The 23,151-nt window shown below is 42.0% G+C and overlaps 1 long non-coding RNA gene across 1 annotated transcript; it reads left to right on the forward strand.

The window, feature by feature from the left end:
• The first annotated feature begins 20,509 nt into the window (after positions 1-20,509).
• On the forward strand, positions 20,510-22,620 carry LOC105370986 (uncharacterized). The gene is made up of 3 exons (XR_932642.2): positions 20,510-20,732; positions 22,190-22,251; positions 22,371-22,620. It is a non-coding gene; the product is annotated as an uncharacterized LOC105370986 (long non-coding RNA).
• The last annotated feature ends 531 nt before the right edge of the window (positions 22,621-23,151 follow it).

Below are 23,151 nucleotides of genomic sequence, written 5' to 3' on the forward strand. Positions count from 1 at the left end.
GTAGAATGTACCCCCATCATCAAGTGGCACATGACTGTAAGCAAAGTTAAGAACTGCTAGAAAACTAAAAGTAAAGATTCCACTAAGTTTGCTAAACAGTGTGCCGTCGTCAGCACAGCAGCTGTCAAACATTTGCCTGTATTGAACAGATACTGATAAATGAATTTCTAATTTGCCAATAGAGATTATATGTAACTTTAAGATATAACATTTAAGATTAAAAAGTTTAGATCTTCAGGAATTCACTTTTAGCCCTCCTCCAGCTCCATTTCTTCCACCTGCTTTGATCAGCCCTTTGACAGTTTCCACCTTTGAGATCCACCCCAATATTTTCTGGTGAGTCTCCCCAGCCATCCTTCTTTTGTTCTGATTTCAAGGTCAAAGAATGCCTCTGATTCCAATTTTGTGGGCCCTTGGTTTCCAAATAACCTTTGTAGCTTTGTACTTAATAGCTGATTAATCTTACCTCTTCTAGATGGTTTTGTATGCTTCTTTTTTTTCTGTGGTGCCTTTAGTGAAAAGTAAACCTTTGCATCCGCATTATTTTAGCAATATAGCTAATTGTCATTATTAATATTACTATTGCTACTATTGCTATTATTATTATTGTATTCTTCTTTAAAGGCCATTTCTAGGCAAAATTGAACCAAAATATGTCTTTGCTCAAGTTCCTTTCTATTCCTTTTCAGTTATAACATTGCTCCTGCTGCTGAGATGAGGGACTCACACATAGACAGTTCATATGTCTGGATAGCTACTGAGAGGGTGAAAGGAAAGACACCATTAAGAAGAGAAAAAGATGGCTGGAGTTCAAAACCAAGGTCATATATATAAGCGGTTTTGTTCTTTTTTTTCTTAAAAATGTGTCATGAATATTTTCAATGAGTAGACATTCTTAGATATGATTTTAATGCCCAAATAGTATTCCATTGTATGGATAAACCATAATTTGTTTTTCATTATTCTTAATTCTGATGTTTAATTCATTTGTATTACTACCAGTGTTAACATGTGCTTTTTTTGAATTCTACTCACTTTTACAACACAGTTTGCAAAAAAAGAGCAATAATATATTTAATTAATTGCATAAATATTGTTTTATCCTTATTGATGACAATGTTGCTGAGACTGTTAGTTAACTGTTAGTTGGCAAGTAGAAATGTATGTTAATGAGGTTATGTCTGAAAGTCAAAATAAATATAGTGAATGTGGCTTAGGGTGTCAATGATTTTTGTGTGAAAATGCCTGTTTTTTTAAAGAGATGCATGCACAAAATTTGAATAATGCCTACATGCCAGCAATAACCAATTAGAATAAATATTGGGAAAAATGATTTTAAAAATCAGACTTCTTTTTCAAAAATAAAAACAGTCCCACAAAACACTAAATACTGTTTCAATTAAATTTTTTGAAAACTTACAATTTGGTGGTAAAAATTGCTTTTGAAAATGAATTTTTACTACCTAAATAAATTTCAAACTATTTTAGAATTTAAAGCAATCATGGATGCATACTCAAAAAATATATTTATATATTTTATTGGATTTAAAATAGTCTAATTTAAATTAATTTTGAAACATTGTAAGAGCTCTTAGAATTGGACAACCTTTAGACATGTAAATCTGTTTCTTAAATTTGATACAGATATATATATATATTTTTAAATTTCATTATTATTATACTTTAAGTTTTAGGGTACATGTGCACGATACAGATATATTTTTAGGAACTAATTATAAAAGACAGTAGGAGGTAGATCTTTATGATTCTTTTGATCTGAACAACATTAAGTACCGTCATTTCAGCTTTGTAAGTGTACAATCACAATATTTTAAAAAATCTTAAAATATTTTTATAGCATTGTTTAGTGCTAAGAAGTTAATGCCACGTAATGCTAGAGTAAACAATCATCTTTGATTTGGTTGAGAATTTTATAAACATGCTGGCTTTGGCTTGAGATAAATCTTCATTTTGTTACAGAATGCTGTCTTTTCTGGGTTATATTAATTTTTATTAATCAAAAAAAGTACATACTTGTACTTTATCAAATGTGTGCTTCCAAACACAATCGCATGGCTTGTACTTAGCCTGATATGGAATTCACTTGGTTATAATTTCCAAGATTTCTAACAGGGCCCAGACAGCAAGGCTCAGGCCTTTCCATAGAGGCAGTGTAAAGATTCACTGACAGAAAAACACACTCAAGGTATGATTCCTTTTTGCAAAGAGTTTGCAACTTTTGGTACCACATGGCTCCCCAGGGCTCTCTGTGATGCCCGACCACAGCCTGCTGAGCATTGATTTCCTTTATTACTTCAGGTTTAATCCTAAGTTCACTCTTTTCTTCATCTAACAGGAGCCTCTTGAGAAACCTGGCATGTGGACCCTGTGTGACGATACTGGGTGGAGACAGAGTCAGCAGCCCAGTTAGAAGCTATTCCAGAAGTCATCAAACAGTCAAACAACGTGTTGAGGGTAGTGTGATGCTTTTTCTGAACTGTGTGGTAGAGATACGCAGAAGGAGCTCAAAGGAGGGACACTCAGGCCAAGGAAGGCCAGCTGGGGGGGTCCTTGCATGGGAGAGAGGCCTTGAGCACAGTCCAGGCAAATGGACTCTGTTGGGGACACTGGTAGCTTGGGGGCTTTTTAGCATCCAATGCCCCTTGTCATGGGCTCCATGATACTGCCTCAGTAGCCTTCCTCACTGAGCATACTCTTGTTGGAAAGCCAATTCTGGACACCCCTCCCCATTGCTACTTCCCACTGCTAGAGCCAAGGATCTTCTCTCACCTCGCTTTGGCTGGGTGCAGCCAGGGGTCTACCCTTGATTTAAATTGTATCAATTAGATGCATGGTCTGTGGATTCTGACTGTGAAGTTACTGCTCAAATACAGGGGCCACCTAGCAGTCAGATGGGCTGCATCTGCAGTGGCGGTATGCAAACCAGATGGTTCCTATAGCATGGCCCTGGGTGTGAGGCTTGGTCACTGGGACCTCTGGAGGTGCCTCGGTTCCATGCCATTTTCCATGCCTAGTTCTCAAGCCCCTCGTTGTTCTGAAAGTTCCTGGTAACCTTTCTCTTTTAGTTCAATACCACAAACAGGCTTTCGTTGGTTGCAATTGAGAACTTTGGCTGGCACAAGCTAGATTTAGATGATCCCAGGGAAGAGAGGGGAACATTCCAAGTGGAGGAAACAGCACCAGTAAGGGCTTAGAGACAACGTAGCATCTACCTGTCTCAGTGGAGACAGAGCAAGGGAGAGGCCTGGTCGTGGTAGTGCTAAACAGCCAGGAACAAAAGGGAAGACAGAACTAATGTGTGTTGATTGACTACTTGCGTGTTGGTGACATTTTTTCCAAAAATTATTTTAATCAATCCTCACCATCCTTTGAGGCTATAGCATTAAGAAAGATAAGGAGTTGGGATTTAATATTAGCCCTTGAGAAAATATGGTGGGAATTTCAGGGCCTACAGTGAGGCAGTGGGAGAGATTATTTTGGGCCAGAAGGACCCTTCGTTCCTGTTTCTCAAGGCAGTCTGGAGAGCTACCTTCTTGACACATGTGTATGTTTTACCTATGAAGTGACAGGTGAACTAAACAACATATGATACCAACATGCCTTGTATAAGTTTGGTCTTTTTTTTTTTTTTTTTTTTTTAGTGTAAAGAAACAAATAGCTTTAAGCAAGTTTAGCCAGGTACTAAGCACAAACATTTGACTGGAGTTTATTTTTTTTATTGCAGCCTATCTATTGTCTTGAAGTGGATGTCTCAAAAAGAACATTATGTTCAAAGTCATCTTTTTCATAGCATCATAGTAAATGATTATGGCACCATTCTTAAAACAATTTTGGGTAGGATTCACAGCCCCTTACAACTAGAAGGAAGCCTAGTTTGATCTTTTTATTTTAGAAATAAGGAAATGAAAGGCACAAGAAGGATTTGCCAGTGGTACAGAGATGGGCAGTGGCAAAATAAGGACAGGGAAACGGAGCATCTTAACTTTGGATCCAGTCCTCTCACCACTCAACTGCATTAAGTTTGACATAGATTTTATGAGTACAGTAAAATTTTATGTCTAGCTGGGGCTCCTTGGGATCACCTTCTTAGACAGCCTAAGTAATCGCAGGCTCTTATATATCTTCTTCCAAGAGCATTGTTCATAGCAGTGACAAATATCAGAACATTAATCATATTTTCATTTTATATAGATCAGGTAACATGAGCCTTGTACATCACATTATTCCTGTGGTCATTTCCTATTAAATATTATGGTATCGAAAGAATCGAAAATCCATTTTTCAAGTGGTTCTCTGTCCCACGGAGCACCTGGCCCTCCCACATTAAAGGCTTCAGCTTGTGCAAAGCTCTCAGTTTGTACCCGATCCTTCTGGAAAGCTATCCCTGAGCAAGTCTCTTGATGGGGGTTTCTCTTACATACTGTCACACTGAACTGAAACTACCTGTTAATTTCTTTTTGCCTGTTGCTCTAAACTAGAAGCTCCATGAAGGCAGGGAGCATGCCTTGTTCACCAGGATTCCCTGGCATTTAGGACAGTATACAATGGAACACAATAAATGTTTCCCGCATGAAGCATCTGTACTTAACCAAAATTCAAAGAAAAATGATACACTGACTGTATTAGATATTTTTTAAGGCTTTCATGGTGAAAGATGTTTGCACCCAATGTTGACTCAATAGGGAGCCAGGGGCTAGGAAGAATTGTGACTTTTTTTTTTTTCTTCTTGAGACGGGGTCTCACTCTGTCGTCAGCCTGGATTGCAACAGCAAGATCTCGGCTCACCTCAACCTCTGCCTCCCCGGTTCAAGAAATTCTCCTGCCTTAGCCTCCTGAGTAGCTGAGACTACAGGTGCCTGCCACCACGCCTGGCTAATTTTTTTGTATTTTTAGTAAAGATGGGGTTTCACCATATTGGCCAGGCTGGTCTCGAACTCCCGACCTTGTGATCTGCCCTCCTTGGCCTCCCAAAGTGCTGGGATTACAGGCGTGAGCCATCACACTCGGATGAATTTTGATTCTTTAAGAAGAGAGTGCACTTGGTAGCTGGCAGAAGGGTTAGGGATAACTTGGGCAGAGCATGGGGTAAATCCAAGGAGAGTTGATTCTGCAGAATTTCTCCAACTCTGCCCATAGCTCTCCATGGAAGTACAATTGTCACTTGTACCTAGCTCTCAGATGATTCCTCACCTGTAGCGGTGATTCCTTACCTGTAGCAGTGATACACAACATGATGCGTCCATGCGCTTCTCCATGGCTGGACCTCACGTCCTGAGCTGTCTGTCACATAATTCTGTCCTGACAGTGCCCTTACCTGACCAGTGGCTCCCTCTGTCATCCCAGGCTCTCAGCCCTCCTCTCCCAGAACTTTTTTTTTTTTTTTTTTGAGACGGAGTCTCGCTCAGTCGCCCAGGCTGGAGAGTGGTGGCGCGATCTCGGCTCACTGCAAGCTCTCCCTCCCGGTTCATGCCATTCTCCTGCCTCAGCCTCCTGAGTAGCTGGGACTACAGGCGCCCGCCACCACACCCGGCTAATTGTTTTGTATTTTTAGAAGAGACGGGCTTTCACCGTGTTAGCCAGGACGGTCCCAATCTCCTGACCTTGTGATCCGCCTGCCTTGGCCTCCAAAAGTGCTGGGATTACAGGCGTGAGCCACCGCACCCAACCTTTTTTTTTTTTTTTTTTTTTTTTCCTTGAGACAGAGTCTCCCTCTGTCGCCCAGGCTGGAGTGCAGTGCAGCAATCTCGGCTCACTGCAACCTCCACCTCCCTGGTTCAAGCGATTCTCCTGCCTCAGCCCCAAGCAGCTGAGACTACAGGCACCCACCACCATGACTGGCTAATTTTTGTATTTTTAGTAGAGACAAGGTTTTGCCATGTTGGCCAGGCTGGTCTTGAACTCCTGCCTTAGGTTTTCAGCCCGCCTCCGGCTCCCAAAGTGCTGGGATTACAGACATGAGCCATTATGCCTGGCCCTCTCCCAGAGGTTGATGGTCTACTTGGGACAATAACGTTTCTTATTGATTCCTGGGCACACTGGTCCTGCCTCACTCCTTCCCTGTTACGAGTTCTGCTTCCTGTGATAGAAGAAGTTCATTTATAAGGCTGAATCCACTGACGTATCTACTTCCTAATATCCATTTTTAAACTGGCTATTTAAACTGGTTGAATTATTTCAATACTTTTGTCCCTCTCTTTGGCTTTTCTAGTATTTCTCTCAAATTCCATAGTCTGTCTCTGGAATCCACACTGACAGGCTCAGGGCTTTCTGTCCTTTGATAGACCTGCCTAGGGTCAATTGCCTACCTGCCCAATTTTCACTTTGGATTCCCCCGCTAGGGATCTATGAGCCTTTATTATGTTGGGACATTATATTCTGCACCTCTCAGCTCCCGTCCTGTCCTCCTGGTAGGTCTAGTTTTTAGCTTTGGCGTTCCCTACCCCTGCCCCAACCCCCCATACTACCTGCCACCCTGCTATAAGTAACTGAGCACAGTTCACTGAATCATGCCCACAATAATCGTGATAGGATTAGAGTGGAATTCAAGAGAAAGGCTGACTTGGGATATGTAAACCCTCTTTAAGAGGAGTCCTTAAAGGACCCTATTACGGAAATGTAAATATAATAGAAAGTGACCTGGTTTGTCATGAACTTTCAAAGCTTTCTGGCTGTCTCTCTTCATTTGATCTGTCAGGGCATGGTAATGTTAACTTGCATGTAATACTTACCCTAAAAGAGGTTAGGAAGCACTGGATTGGAAATGCCTTTTGACCAAATGGGACATGATGTTGATACGGGTTGTATAACATGTTGTGATGAGAGAGCCCCTAGGAAAACATATGGAAACAAAGAGAAACTAGCTTACAGCATTAATACTAGGCTTTCTTCCTGGAAACCAGGAGATAGTATGTGGCAGGGTCTGGACCCTGCCTCCATGAGAGGGGCCATGAAGGACAGGTTAGCTTAGCTGACCTTTCATGGGTTGTTGTAGAAACCCAAGCAAACAGTTCTAACAAATGGCGATCATTCTCCAACAATCAGAGCTCTTATCTAGGAATTAACAAATTTCCTTTCAGAGTTTGCAGACCAGCAGAGACAATATGTGATTCAACACTCTCTATTCAGCCCAGTTATATGGTCTGAAAGAGAGTTGGGCCCTAAAAATTGTTTAATGAAAGAACAGATGCTAGCACCCATGTGCCCATGCACTGTTGCTTCCATACAACTTTCTCTGTGAAGCTTTTCATACGGGGTTTGTAGTTCCTCGGGATTTTTGCTTAGGAAAATGTTCCGGGCTAGGACAAATCTCAGTATTTTGCATGCCCTCCATTCCTGTTCACCAACAGAACCATTCTTTTGAAATCTCACATTCAATTAAAAATGTTCAAATGACATCTTACAGGAGTGATATAAGCAAGCATAATTTTTCCTCTTATTGAAGTTTCTCTGGCTACCTTCTTTGTGAATCCCACGAGTCCTTGATAACTATAATTTCCCATAGAAAAGATTTTGTATGTAATTTTTATGACAGTTCATTGTCAGTGCTCATTTTTCCCAACTGCTGCGATGATATTGAAAGATGAATGTTACTCCCAGTGTTTTGGCCACGTGGAACAACTCCCCTTCCATTTAAAAATCTTCCCTGGTGGATCAGCCCTTGGTCTTTGGCATTGCTGGGTCTTTCCCATTTTTTCCAACTCTCTTTGTGACCCTCTCTGTACCTTTCTTATTTCTCTTTTACGCATGTAACCCATTAAAAAGGTGGTCTTCTGTCTTCAAATTTTCTAGCATTTTTTACACTCTAAATTTTATTACTTGCTTTACTTGCGCCCATTTTCTTAATTACAGTAGCTTTAGTAACAATAACACAAGATAACATTTATGGAGTGATGACTTTATTTCTGATACTGAGGGAGTAATCTCAATGAAGAAATGGAGAAAGAGAGAAAAAAGAACAGCTATGAAATCCGCACCCCAACTCACATCCACTTGCCCGAAGACTTCATTCTCAGCATGCCGTCTTCCCTGTTACCACCCCAACCTTCAGCCCGAGTTGCCTTTACCAAGAACTCTGTGTTGATTCCTTCCCTCACTCCCATAGCTCACACCACCTTGTTAAGCTCAAGGCTTCAGGGAAATAAAAAGTCGCTTATCATCTTGAAAAGGGCTTCTGTCCCTGCTGTGTGGTATAATCGAACACAGGGCACTTATTTCCTGCCCCTTATTATCTGGTCCCTCATAGACATCTAGGTCCGCTGTTTTCTCTCCCTTTTTTAAAACTTGAAGTTCTATCATTGTGTCTATTGACACACACAGCAGAGGGCTTCCTGGATGCCCTCAAATGCCTTTGTGATAGTTCTTACTCCAAAGTGCCATTTCTTAGTGATCCTTGAGTTCAGAGCTGTCATTTGATAGCCTTGGGAACTGAGGCAATCAAAGAGCCATCTCATGTATTCTTGGTGTCCCTCTGCTTCCGAATAATTCCTGCAAACCCACGTACCTAGAAAATGTTAAACCAGAATGAGTGTCTTCTATGGTAAATGCCTAGTTCTTCTTAACAAGATGCATACTTAGAACCTCTCTGCTCATTTCTATGTATTTTCTATGGGAGGCACCAAAGAATGTAGCTACAGGGGACACATTAGAACCCTCCACTCCCCTCAAGCATGCAAAGCAAATGCCATCTAAACAGCAAGAGTATTCTTGCTGAGCAAATGAGTTTTCCAACAAGTCTCATAGCAGCCTCAGCCCTCTTCCACACCCTGAAATCAGAGTGCACGCCCCAAGTGCCCTCCCTGACCTGTGTTGAAAATGGAAGCCTCCGTGTGTCTCTCCAGTAGCTCTTAGCTACTGAATGGACTTTCGTTTCCTTCCAGGGCACACAGCTGTATTCTCTGATCAGAGAAACAGTTCTCACATGCTTTCCTAATATTAACTTATTTTTCGCCAAACTTCCCATCATACCAGATAGTGTATAAACTTCCCATCATACACAGCTCATCATCGTGACAAAGCTTTAGATGGAAAAGAAAGAGAATCATCCCTTAAGCCGTGGCCTTTCTATGTGAGGTACTTATGTCCTCTCTGTTCTCAAAGAGTACACAGTCAGTGGTGGAGTCCCATGTGGGACATGGTATCTGTGGAGTGCCACATAGCATGTGAGTATGAGTCCATGGAGGGATGCATACTGGAGCAGAGCTATGCGCCACACACCCAGGGTACACTGAGTAGGGGCACTGAACTCTGCCTGGATGAGCCAAGAAAGGAAGGACAGGGTGCCAGAGTGAAAGACCTCAAAAGGAGTAAGAGGAAAACAGAGTCTCAAAGGGTGGAATTTGAAGGATGGGTTCAAAGGAGTCTTGAAGGGGTTTCAGAGAATAAACAAGACTTTCTCAGCAAGAGAAAGAAGTAAGGGATAAAGAAAGAAAAGGTAGGTGGGAAATGTAAAAGGCATTGATAGATTTATAAGTGAACAAAGAGGATAGGGTAGATTAGGGCCTGAAGGGGGACCAGGTCAGAGATCCTGGCAGGGAGGAAAAGATAGGGAGTGTGGTAGCTCGTATAAAGGTATTAAGCATTTCTGCTCATAGCTCCTGGGAGCCACCAGAATGTTTTAAGGAGGGACTTGGGTGGATTAGATGTGTTTATTGGACCTCTCCAATACAGCCTCCAGAGGGCATCTGGACCTAGGAGTGACGTGACCAGGCAGTGACAATCCGTAGGTTGTGGCTGAGTTCAAGTAGGGCCAGACCTAGCTTGATAGGCATGAGGAGATGAGGGACCCGATGTTTCTGAAGTGGACAATGTACTTCTGAATGTTTAGATTCTCATTAAAAGACAATGGGGCTCTGTTGGCTCATGGCTTACGAACCTAAGGAATCCTCTGTCTCTATACACAGAGCTGGAAGCAGGGACTAAACTGCCTCATGAGGGCTGTTTCTTTCTCTCTCCAATCTCTGGCTCTATTTCTGTGTTTACCCAGGCCACCGCACTCCTGTAAAAAACAACTTCATCTAAAGAAGTCCTCAGCATATCCACCTCCACCTCCACCATCACCTCCGTCTCCACTACCACCACCACCTCCACTTCAACCACCACCACCACTACCTCCACCTCCACTTTCACCTCCAGCTCCATAATCACCTCCACCTCCACCACCTTCTCCACCTCCTCCGCCTCCACTGTCATCACGACCACCACCCCCTCTACTTCCACAATCACTACTACCTCCATCTCCACCATCTCCACCTCCACCACCACCTTCACCATCACCACCACCACCACCAGCACCCTACCTCCTCCTCCTCCACCTTCACCTCTACCACCTTTACCACATTCACCACATCACCGCCACTACCACCTTCACTCCTACCACCACCGCCTCCTTCACCTCCATCTCTGTCTCCATCACTGCCACCTCTACCTCCATCTCCACCACGACCTCCTCTGCCTCTTTCCTGTCCTCTACCACTTCCACCACTACCACCAGCTTCACCACTAAAAATAAGTACCATGCTCCAACTTGGTGCCAAGGACTGTACTGGGTGCTGAGGGCACAGAGATGAACAAAGCAGACGAAACTATCTGCCCTGAGAAGTCACAGGAATTCAGGTGAGTCAGGGCACATATGTTAAATGGTAATATATGTTTTGTTTTGGCACGAAGGCAGGCACGACTCTGCTTTTAGATTATCCTTTATCTTTATTGATTCCTCGCTTTCTCTCTTCCCTAGCTCTGGCCACATTTCCCTACAGCTGTCATTGCTCTGAGAGTTTTCATTGGCACAAGACAGAGAACAGCTGAGCCTGCAGCTTCTATTGTCACAACTCTTTGACCAGCAGAACAGGAGAAAACTATACCTGACAGGACTCCTTCCAAAAGATTCAGCATCAATTCCATCCCAGCATCTTCCCCAGACCACAGGACCAAGTATCCCTGCTGCCTCACGACCATTACACCTAAAGACGCAGTATGTCTCTGCGAGTCTTCCCTGAAGCCTGGACCGCAATGAGTTGCCTTTCCTCCTAATCCTGGAGAGAAGAGAATTTCTGAATAGAAACCGGGGACCTTATTAACTTCAGAGAGAGAGAGAGAGAGAGACACTGAGTTTCAGGTCATGCCAGATTTATTACATAAGTGAGCAAGCCATAAAATGTAACGGTTTGCATTTGCTTTGTACTACTCAGTACCTGAGGGGGGAAAATTGATGTAAAACTTTTCATAACTCTTTATATTTTTGTCACACCACTAATTGATATCCTTTGCTCATGAAGATGGTTGGTACCTCATTTAATGTTATAGTTTTATGAAAGTGACAAGTGACAGCGTATGTGTTTGGAACCAAAAAGTTACCTTAGAAGGCATGGGGTCCCAGTTCCTTGTTTTATACATGAGTAAACTGAGGTAAAGGAGAAGTAGTTCTCTTGTGATCACAAAACGGCAGAGCTCTGTAAGAAGTTGACCCTTAGTGCAGTGCTCTTCTATTAATGCAATCAGGTGCCTGAGCAGGATTGGCCAAACCTGACCTTGGGGGCCCATTCTGGGTTGCCTGGACAACAAGCTAGCCAGAAACAGCAGCTCTTACTCTTAGCAGGAAAGGGCTCTTCCTCACACAGGGGACTGCAATACCTTACTACCTGAGTTCTCCAGGTGTGCACAGCCAGCATTCCCTGACAACTGCAAAGTGCAGGCCCCTAAGAGCCTGATGCCTGAGGATGACCAGCCCACCCCATCCTCCTCAAGGCTCTTCTTACCCTTGCCCTGTCAAAAGAGACCTACATGGGCTGAGCACCAGGTGGCTCACACCCGTAATCCCAACACTTTGGGAGGCCAAGGCGGGCGGATCACTTGAAGTCAGGAGTTCGAGACCAGCCTGGGCAACGTGATGAAACACTGTCTCTACTAAAAAACAACAACAACAACAATTAGCTGGGCATGGTGGTGGGCACCTGTAATCCCAGCTATGCGGGAAGCTGAGGCAGGAGAATCACTTGAACCCAGGAGGCGGAGGTTGCAGTAAGCTGAGATGGCACCATTGCATTCCAGCCTGGGTGACAGAGCAAGACTCAGTCTTAAAAAAAAAAAAAAAAAAAAGAAAGAAAGAAAGAAAGGAGACCTACATGAGGCAGGATGGAGGGCAGAGCTGTGGAGGATGGAATGGTCACTGGAACACAGAATCCCACTGCAAGTCCTACAGCTTCTCTAGGGGACACCTAGAAAACCGGGGGGGGCCTTGCTTTCTTTTTGCTACGCTTGGCCTGATGTAAGCTTTGCCCAGTTACATGTATTCTTAGCCCACTTTGTGTGATCTTTTGAAATGTGTTCCCAACCCTGACACCTGACAGGTGGAGATCCATCTGAGACCTACCTGGCAAGGCACACACTTAACCTCTGACCTTTAATTTTCTAATTGCAGACTAGAATTTTATCTGCTTCTAACTACTTAATAGGTTTCCAGAGAAAAATCGACGTGTGCTTTACTTATGGGCGAGGTCCTTGAAATTAAAGCATTTTATAATTCGGAGCATTCGGGTTTTGTGCCTTCATACAAGAAGCTCACTTGGCGAAAAAGTATCACCTCATTCTCTTGCTAATTCTGGGCTTATCGCACATTCAGTGTTCCATAAAGCTTGACTTGAAAGCTTTCATTTCAAACCCAATTCATATGAATTAGTGTACTACTCAAAATGTCAGGCTGCTAATAGGACATACATAGCAACTGGAAATTGAAATAAGTGCATTTTAATAGAGCTCAGAATTAGGATTTCCTCTATCTGTTTGACGTAGTATCACAATTATAATTGAACATAATTTTTTTTTCTGTTGGCATTTAATGATCCTCTATCTAGAATTATCAATCATCCCGAATTCATTATACCATTTTTCAGCGGTAAAATGGAAAAAAAGAAAGAAATTCAAAGCTTTTTAATTATGGTATGAACATGGAAAATCATGTCACCTAATACAGATTAAGGGAGAAAATGGATGGATCTAAGATTACTCAATTGATCATTCTATCGAGTAACCAGTGAGATCCCATGTAATTATGGCATTACATAATAGTTATTTTCATTATGTTTAATTTTATATGAGAAAAGTTTTATGTTACCTTTTAATCTCTAAAATATAGTCTAGTTAATTATTGACAATTATTACTTTTTGAGCTTTTGATAAAAGTGAATTTCTTCTCCAACCCAAATGCAATATTTATGAATGCTTGGCTGCCCTTAATATCAGTTTTTCAAAAAGTTGTGGACATTTTAAAGTAATTACTGCTCTTCACTTTAGCTTTAGTTGAACACCTGGGTCTGACTTGAGGGCTCCAAACATAAAATAAAATAGTACAAAAGTCAGAACTGCTGTCAAAAAACAATTAGAAAGCATTGTATTCTGGGCCATGAGGAAGTTAGATTATTCAGTTTCTAATTCCTGTCAGGCACAGATTCTAATATGAATGTGGACATTTCCTTATTATCGTAGATTTCCTAGACATAACCCTATTGTCAGTGATAGAATTCTTCCAGGCTGTTCCTATTTCTGTTTATAACCAGAAGAGGGCAGTCAGGTTCCATGATTCAGAGATAATTGCCACTGCCTCAGAAAGTAAGATTTCCAATAAATCTCAATGATTGGAATTACGTTTTCCTTTAATAGTATTAAAGGGCGTTTATAATTACCTGAAGAGTTTTCTGCTTTTATTAAAAACCTTACAACCTTGGTGAGATGGACACTTTCTTCAAAAGAGATGAAATGAAGGTATATATTTATTTGGATTATTTCTCCCTTGAACATGTTATTTCTGTTCCTATCAGCCTTCTTCAACATTTAGCTGGCACATGAGGGAGGGAGAAAATCTTATCATGTAGATAGTCCTCCTAATTTATAACTTTGTGGCATTTTATAAGTAAAAAGATATCTATTGTACAAGGCAAAGAACATTCATCAGCACTTCAGTTTCAAATCAAGAAGAGAGAGAGAATTAGAAAAAAAAAAGATTCACAGCAATTGAAAAACAGATATCTGCCAGAGGAACTTAAAATTCCAAAACACTTCTAGCAACACTTACTTACCATGAGAAAAAAATAATTACACTTCTAAAATAAAACTTTGAGTAAAACAATGTTAGAAGAATGTGATGTATTTTTTTCCTCCTGAGATCTCTTCTATAAGCAGTTGAAAGAAAATAAACATAAAGCTGAACACAAAATACAACAAACATTTCTGCTACCTTTTTCTCTTCTTTATTAGTAATAAAACCAGAGACTAGAAACCCCCTAATTTACTGAAAATAGAAAAACAGATATATCGGAATGAAAGCTTGAGTATTCAAAAAATAAATTATTTTTAAAGGGCCAGCCTTAATTTTAACATATAAGAAAAAGTTAATTTCAGGACGTAATTTCAATAAAACGATAGCCACAAGAGTTAACCATAATTCAGGCTACTTATTCTTGTTTGTATTTGAAATGTTCCCTCTGTGTTAATAGTGCTTCTAATGCTATTTCTAGGTGATTGTGCAGGGAATCAGTACTGTCTGATGCGGACAAATATGTGTATACTTGTGTTTATATGTAAACTATATATATATACGTATGTGTCATATGGCTGTGTACATTTCTATCAGCTACCTGCCTACAAAATAGCTCTCTCATGGTTATGGAATTCACCAGCCCCGCATGCACTCCTCTTGAGGCCTGTGGATTAACCAGGAATCCAGGTGATTTTCTATTTGATCCATGCCTCCAGCCCCTGGCCCACCGTTCCTGTAGATGCTGCCTCCAGAAAGAGCTGCCTCTGAAAGTGACCTTGCTCAGCAAATGCCTATTGGCTTACACAGAAGTAGCAATGCCTTTCCCAGAAGAGGCGCTGCAACTGGTGCTGCTGTAAAGATGGGTATGGGATCTGGGGTGGGAGGGAAGAGAGAGGAGGGAAGCAGCTTGCCAAGTCGCTTGGGCTACTTATAAACAAACTCAGCCATTGTTTCCCAAACCCTTTACAGTGGAGAGGGGAGCTGGACACACACTGTGTCCTGGACTCTATTTATGTTCTGTGCTTGGGGAGAGCTGCTTTTAAGAGACTGATTCGGTTTGGAAGATGATTTCCATCAGCTACTTTTAAAAGATACGTGCTATTTCAGCACAAAGCTGAAGCCCCTGTTAGAGCTGCACTAGGGATTAGGAAACGGCGTGTATTTTAATGCCTTATGAATAGGAGTAGCTGATAAAAGAGGCTCTTGTTACCACTGCTACATTTAAATGTGAAAAGCAGCTGCTTCTAGGGAGGAGGGGGTAGGGGAGAGGAGAAGAGATATATTATTTTCATAGGGATTTAATTTTCAGACTACACTGAAACCATAGAATACCAATGGCCATTCTCTTATCGGCAGCTCTCTAATCGTACTGAGATCTGTAAGATTGTGGAGAGGGAAGGAGAGGGACTGGGAGGCAGAGAAAGGGATTGTGTGTAGCGATGAGGCTGGCCGTTTTCATCTGCGTGTATGTTTTGAACCTCAGATCAAAACGCACGCGTGGTGTTTTCTTCTTCTCTTAGGAGCATTAACCCTTTAAACTTTCAAAATGCCAGCCAGTTAAAGAGTTTGATGCAACTATGCTGTCTTCAGAGCATGCAATTTTTCGATGGGCCCTGAGAATAAGATGACCACTGAGACCTCATTACAGAATATGGACCAGGTGTACGCGCCTGTGGCCAGGTCGGGGCAGGGGGCATGAAAGAGGGTCTCTTCCAACATTTCAGAGACAAGGATTTCAGGTAGAATCCAGGACGTATTATGAATCCAACAGAGAAAGGCTCTTTCTGCAAATCTTATGACCACCGGAAGCTGATGATATAAATAAGACCTAGGATTATTAAACAAACTAGCAGGTATTTGCCAAATACTATCAGTATTTGAAGAAATACGACTAAAGAATATAGATATTTTGAATGAATGAATCAATCTGGGCACCATTATTTTTCTCTCCATATTATCACTTAATAGCCTGGTTTTGTTTATTCTCATGTTGGACTTATTGAAACTGATCGCTAGTGAATTTTCTGTGTGTTTGACCCCTGACCTGCCCATGAGGTTTCTAAAGTACTTCTTAAAAAACCTAGGGTTTTGCTCCAAGACATTGTGAAGACATCTTTCTGATAAGAATTAGTTGCCTTTGGCCGGGCGCAGTGGCTTACATCTGTAATTCTAGCACTTTGGGAGGCCAAGGCGGGCGGATCAAAAAAAATTAGCCAGGTGTGGTGGCGGGTGCCTGTAGTCCCAGCTACTCGGGAGTCTGAGGCAGGAACGTCACTTGAACCCAGGAGGCGGAACTTGCAGTGAGCCGAGATCGCACCACTGCACTCCAGCCTGGACGACAGCGAGAGACTCCATCTCAAAAAAAAAAAAAAAAAAAGAATTAGTTGCCTTCCCCATAACTACTCTTACTCTTTCTAATTTTTTGTAGTATTGCCATTATCCAATGGTTTAACTCCAGAAGTTAAAGGATTAAAAACAAGTCTGGGAGTGATAAATCGGTAGTTCTCACCTAAGTTATAATTAAGGGTAATTCACATGTAGAAGATGGTTTGACAGCTCTAGCCCACGTGCTTAGACACTTGAATCCCAATGAATCATTTGAAGCCAAAGTATAACCCCGGCTGTCTTTGCACATGATGTGCAGGTGGATAGACTTTGAGACCGTCCTCTATCAACCAAGAGCAAAAAGAGAAAAGAGGAAAAAGGGCAAATATCCAGCTTCCCTGCCACACATCAGAAAGCCAGAAACAGGCGGCAAGATGCTTCCTGCTCCCAAGCACAACCAGGCTGGCCGCCCACAGCCACCCTGCACTGCTCTCGCACCTGCCCAACCTGTGCTTGTAATCGGACAGGGGGCATCCCTGGCCTGGGTGGTCCTGCTGGCTAGGCTCTGAGTGGTCAAGTTCCTGGCAGCCTGGGTTACTGGAGAAAGCCACTTTGGGATATTAATCACAGCAAACGAATGCGCTCTCCTGGCTCATGCATGGGGCACATGCCTAATCACGGGCTGAATAATGTTAAAAGAATGTAATTTGCTTCCCCTAAAATCTCTTCTAGAACAGCTACCGCAATCGGGTTCAATCAATATTTTGATTTCCTGACCCAATTTCTCTGCACATGAAAAGTAAAAGCCAGCAATCCAGCTTCACCAGGTACCATTGCAAAGCGAGTAAAAGAGACAAGCAGGGAGAAAGAGCTGGAGCCAGCACCAACAAGGCCGGGCAAGTCGAAGGAAGTGGCTCAGCACCCAATTGTGAGCTCTGAGAAAGCTGTTGCTGAAGGCTGGTCTGATGCCTCCGGCACTGATGCCCATCCCTGTTCTCTGCTGCAGTCGCCACTGCTGCTCCAGCCAACATCTCCGCTTGCTTCTGAGCTCTCTTGCTTGCGTTCTTCCGTTTTGCCCCTCCTCTTCCCCCTCTCCTTCTTCTTTGACTTTTTTTTTTTTTTTAACTTGGCTACGGAACATTAAGTTTGACGAAGCGAAAGCAATTCAACATCTTTTAACTGAAGGAGGTTGATTTTCATTTGCTACCAAATGGCTCATTTTTACCTTTTTAGCTCCTGGAAGAGTAAAAAGTGAGAGGTCAGCCCTGCATCACCATGGCAACCCGGGCAGCTCGGGCCTGGAGCAGATGAAGGGAGGTGATAATGGCAGGGAAGATTGTCCCCTTACTTGGCATTTTTCTCCCCATTCAGGGATGTGCCTGGATGTATAAAAACAATCATGTCGTTTTAGGACTCTAAGTTTTAAAATTTGGCTGCTGCATTGTCTGGTCCAGGGCTGGGACCTGGTGTGGATCTGTGTGGGTTTCGGATGGTGTTTGAGCCCATCCTTGCCTTCATCAATGCCCACAGGGTCTTCAGTCCCACCAGCCACATCATGCATGTCCTACCCTGGCAAAATCTGTCCTTCCATGTAAGAATCCACCTGCTGGTGTCCAGAAAGCCAAAAATCTTAACGAAGAGAGAATCTGGCCCTTGTTGGTGGAAATCCAGTATAGCAGGCCCCAGACTCAGCACATGGCACCTCACTGGAGCCTATCTGAAAAAAGGTCTTAATGCTATTCCAGAAGAAAGAGAAATCAAAATGACAAGCATGCCGCAATGGCCATATTCAACCCTGCAGGAGAAGCCTGGGTCAGAGCAGGAAGGAATTTCCATGACCTCTCAGCTCATGGACTCAAATGTCCACCACATTCAGCCCAATGCAGTCCTTGGTAAATGGGAGAAATAAAGAACATGCATTAACACCTGTGGGTACCAGGCACTGTGCTGGGTTTTGTAATATCTTATTGCCTCTGAGCCTCTCAGTAATTGTATGAGGTGGGTGGTTTAATTTTTTAATCTTTGTTTTACAGATTACGAAGTTTAGAAGTGTTAACAGATGTGCCTAGGGTCACAGATTCTGACGTGGGCTCCGTTCATGTTCTAACTGGGTCCTCTCTCCAGGATAATTAATATTATCCCAATGTATGAATAATAACTTCGTGTCAGAAGACCAGAGTTGGTGCTTTTGCTCATTAGTTCATTCATTGAGTTGCAATACAACTATCAATTAGCTGCTGTAATTTCAGGACAATTCAGGTGCTTGAGAGAAGTTGATAGGGAGACAGTGATGCTGTTCTCTAAGAACTGGAGCCAAATGGTTTGAAGCTCAGTGATGTGAACTTGGACAAGACATTCAGCAGGATTGACGTTCAACTTTCTCACCCGTGAAACGGGTGTATTAATATTTATCTCAAGAAGCATTGTGAGTGACCATAAAAGAGAGGCCCTTGTCAGGTGCCTATCAGGGTGCCTGGCTCACTGAGGAAGATGCTCAATAAATATCTGCTCTCATTCCCTTCACCTTCCTTGCCCTCCACCTCACTGCTGCCGTGTGGCATTCTCTTCTGTCCTAGTGTGAGGCTGGTCACCTCCCTGCCCTCAGAGCAACCATGCTCCCTTCTAAGTTGCACGTGCCTGGCATCTAGCAGTCAGGATAGACCTTTAAAGACCCAGCTCTACTCGTAGCATTGGGGAAGGGTTGCAGAGCAGCCAGGCCCAGAGCAAAGAGAGGGAGATGCTTTGCTATTTACAGTCCTCATGGAGGCCATCTCAAAAGAGGAGATTGCCTCACTCCCTTACCCTTCTCTGTCTCTCTTTTAATAGCCCTCAGTGGTGGCTATGAGTTCTCCAGGGTAGTCTCTCTGCTTATCATTTGCGCAAGCTCAGAGGGCCTTGCACAGTTTGGAGCTCTTCTATGCTCTCCTATTCAGGGGAAGTTTCAAAGCCATTTCAGATTGAACTGGGCTTTATAAATCCCAATCAGAGCTGGCCCTGAAGGACTTGACAAGGTTGTCTCAGCTAAATGGCAACTGCTCAATTTTCAGAAAGGAAAGGCACAAAGGATCACTAGGCAATCCTTTCTTTTTAATACAGTTTGAGTTACAGATGCAAAAAAATAATGCAAAAATCATCAGCCTGATCTAATTCTAAGGCTATGGAAAGGGTGAGTGGCATCCATAAAATATTAATAATGTGTTGCACTGGCAACAAAACCTGTGCTGAGTTTCAGCTCAGACCATTTAGCCAAATGTTGCCTTATTATTGTAATGTTCAGAGTCGAATTCTCAGTCACAAGCACCCTAATCTGAAAGACTCTCTTCTTGACTCCACTCCTCTCCTGCCCATCCCTGACCCCACCTCCTTCTCCTGCCCTCCTCATAGATGAAGATGTATATGGTGCGCCAGTGCTGTGAATCACACAGGAAATCAGCCCTTTTGCAGCCAAAAAACTAAGAGGAAAGATAAAACTGACACCTAAATATGATAAAAAGGAGCATATGGCATAAGATCAGGAAAAGTAAAAATTAAGAATAGTGATAGTTCACGCTCAGGTCTGGGCTTAACACTCACGTTATCAAAGATGGCTTCACTGATGTCTCACTGTGCCTTGGCTATCTCTTTATGACGTTGTATTGCTGTGTTTTACTTGTGTGGTTGTTGACTTACTGTTTGTCTCACCAAGATGTAAGTTTCCAGAGGGCAGGCCCTGTGTTTGTCTGGTTTTCCATGGTATTGCTGTGGGGTTCCCTTAGGAAGAGATAGAAGCACGGGGGTAGGGCAAAGAGAAAATCAGTCTCCTAGGCCAAGGAGCCTTCCAGTGGAAATACCCAGAGGTGGGAAGAGTGGTGTAACCTGTGTGTCTGACAGGTAAATTAGCATGAAGGAGACTCTTGGGCTGTGGCCAGGGAAGGCACTGTGCGGTCAAATCCTGAAGTATTATGTGTGTTAGAGCCATGGGGGCGTGGCAAGCTGCCAAGATTAGACTTTAGTATTGAGACCAGAGGGATAATGTGGTGAGAGTATGTCAGTGTTTTTGAAACTGGATAAATGTATTGAGTAGAAGAATGTTTTAAGACTGAAGGATAGCTAAAACAATTTGTCACGGAATATTATTCATCCATTTAGCAAATGCTGATTGAGTGCCAGCCGTATGCCAGTCACCACTCAGGCTGCGAAGATTCACCACGAGACAGGCCCAGGCATGAGACGGAGCTTATGATCTGGAGGAGACAGACAGGCAATGAACACACAATAAGCAAATGAGCAGCAAATCAACAAACAGGCTGATCGTTTCAGAAAATGAATGAGGGAGAGCTGGACAGCTGGAGGAGATGGCAGTGACAGTCAGACTCAGGTAATGGAGAGGCTCATCAGCCACAGCAAGGGATTTGGATTTTATGCCAAATGCAATAGGAAGTGATTGGCGAGTGTTAAGCAGGGGAGGGGCAGGGTCTGATTTATAAAAACATCCTATGGCTTGTTCTATGAAGGATGGGTTTTGGAGGGCTCCAGGGGACAGAGGGAGTAAGAAGATTAGTTGGGGAATGACACAGTACATAATCCAGAGCAGAGATGATGGTGAGGTGGCAAGGCGTGGAATGCAGGACAAGTTCTAGAAGTAGAGACCACAGGACTTATCCTTTGGGATAAAAGGAAAGAAAATAATCTTAGATAAGTCAGTTTGGTCCCAGAGCTACCAAGTGAAGAGTGGTACCAATTTATTAGATTTGGAGACTTGGGGAGAAGTATGTTTTTATGGGAAAGACTCAGGACTTCTGTTTAAATATGATACACCTGGCTATGAGAAAGTATACTGACAAAGTAGCTGGACATGGTGATTCACACCTGTAATCCAAAACTTTGGGAGGCTGAGGTCAGGAGTTCAAGACCAACCTGGGCAACATAGCAAGATCCTATCTCTACAAAAAAAAGTAGCCAGGTGTGGTGGGGCACACATATAGTCCCAAGCTACTCAGGAGGTTGAAGCAGGAAAGGATATTCTTGCTATACTATCAAGTAAAAATGTAGAAAACACAATTACATATACATATGTTAAGGAAGCAGGATATATATTGCTAATATATATTTTTGTGGGTGAATGTTATAGTAAATACTTTCTTCATTATAATTTCTGTATTCTCTAAAGTTTTACAATAAACAGTATTACTTTTTTGAGCTAAAAAATACTTTTAAGTCATCACAGGGAAATGTTATTTTGCTTCAATCTCACTCTTAATTGCTTTAATTCAGCTTTAGACTCTTTCCTAGGAAATTAAAACAAAAAACCCAAAACATAAAAGAATAAAATGTAAGTAGAAACATTAAGATAGATAATAAATGAGACAACAGTAGATAACTACTCTGAAAGATACTAACATGACAGGCCCGAAGTCATCCTAGTGCTCTAGAGAAGAATGAGATTCCAGGGGCTAACAAGGGGGTAAGTTCTTAGTTTCTCATCATCATCTACACGTCTTGAGTAAGACAGAATGAAGATCTCCTGGGGCAGAACCATCTGACTGTATCCCTCTTGCAGCTATCAGCTATCGTGAGTTAAAACAGATTCTTAATGCTGATCCCAGCCTCCTTTTCAACAAGGACCCAGGAAACTATTTTCAATCCATTATTAATGAAGTTGGGGGACCTCCATTCTTGTCAACAAGCCTTGATTTTATTCCATTTCAGATGTTGGAGTCATACTATTTAAATCATCTGAGAATTCATGTTTCCTTTGGGAGCTAATGTATACTGTTTTTACACTTCTACTCTCAGGGACTTAATTCTTTCTAACATAGCACTCTTGTTTTCCAGATGGAAATGAAAAAACTAAAGAACAGTACTCTGCAAATGATCTAGTGTGATGATAAGAGAAAGTAAGAGAGGTCAATTTTGGCTAAATAAAACAGAATTTGATGTGTTTTTTAAAAAATGAAATAATTTTGGAGACGCTCTTGCAATTATGAAATATTATTTACTTGTTTAACAAATCCAGATGAAGAACTTTTCAAAACTCTATGGGAAGCAGCAGAGTCGAGTTGAAGGAGCTGGAAGACGGCCATTAGAATGGTCTTTATTCTTCCACCAGTTGAAGGAGGTTGGAAGATGAATCTTGCTGAACTTCAGCATATGGGAAACGACTTCGGGGCTACCTGAGTATTCCATCTTGTAATGTTGATAAAAGAACCAAATGAAACAGCATGCAGTGAAGAATTTTGTAAGTCCTAAGTAAGTACACAAATGTGATGTGGAATGTGATCATAGCTTTAGAAAGCATTGGCTGTTATTAGAAACCTCTATAATGCCAATAAAGAAAGTTGATAGACTTTCTGAGAATAAATCTGAGAAGTTGTTTCTTCTTTTCCTTCTCTTTTCTTATTCTTCTCTTCTTCACTCTTTCTTATCTTAATTTCCAATTTAAATCATGGGATAAATTATAATTGTTACATATCAATAAAGCATTTTTAGGCTGATGAGTAACAAATGTTTAACTCTAAATCTAGGTTGGACAAACCAATGATCTTCAAATGCTGCCTTCTCTTTTAAGCCCTTCCTAATTGTCCTAAAAATGTAATTGTTCTTGCTTTTCTGAATTTTTATAGCAATTTGTTTGCAGCTCTATTTACTATATTCCTTATTTACCTTCTTTCCAGTTTTCCTCCCACTAGAGTTTTGGTTCTTTGAATAGAGATACCAAATCTAACTCATTTTTCTGTACCTTCAGTGACAATCACAAAACAGGAGCTAAATATAAAATTATTCAATAGAATTCATTT

This window comes from Homo sapiens, chromosome 15 (assembly GCF_000001405.40).
Source record: "Homo sapiens chromosome 15, GRCh38.p14 Primary Assembly".
NCBI lineage: Eukaryota > Metazoa > Chordata > Mammalia > Primates > Hominidae > Homo > Homo sapiens.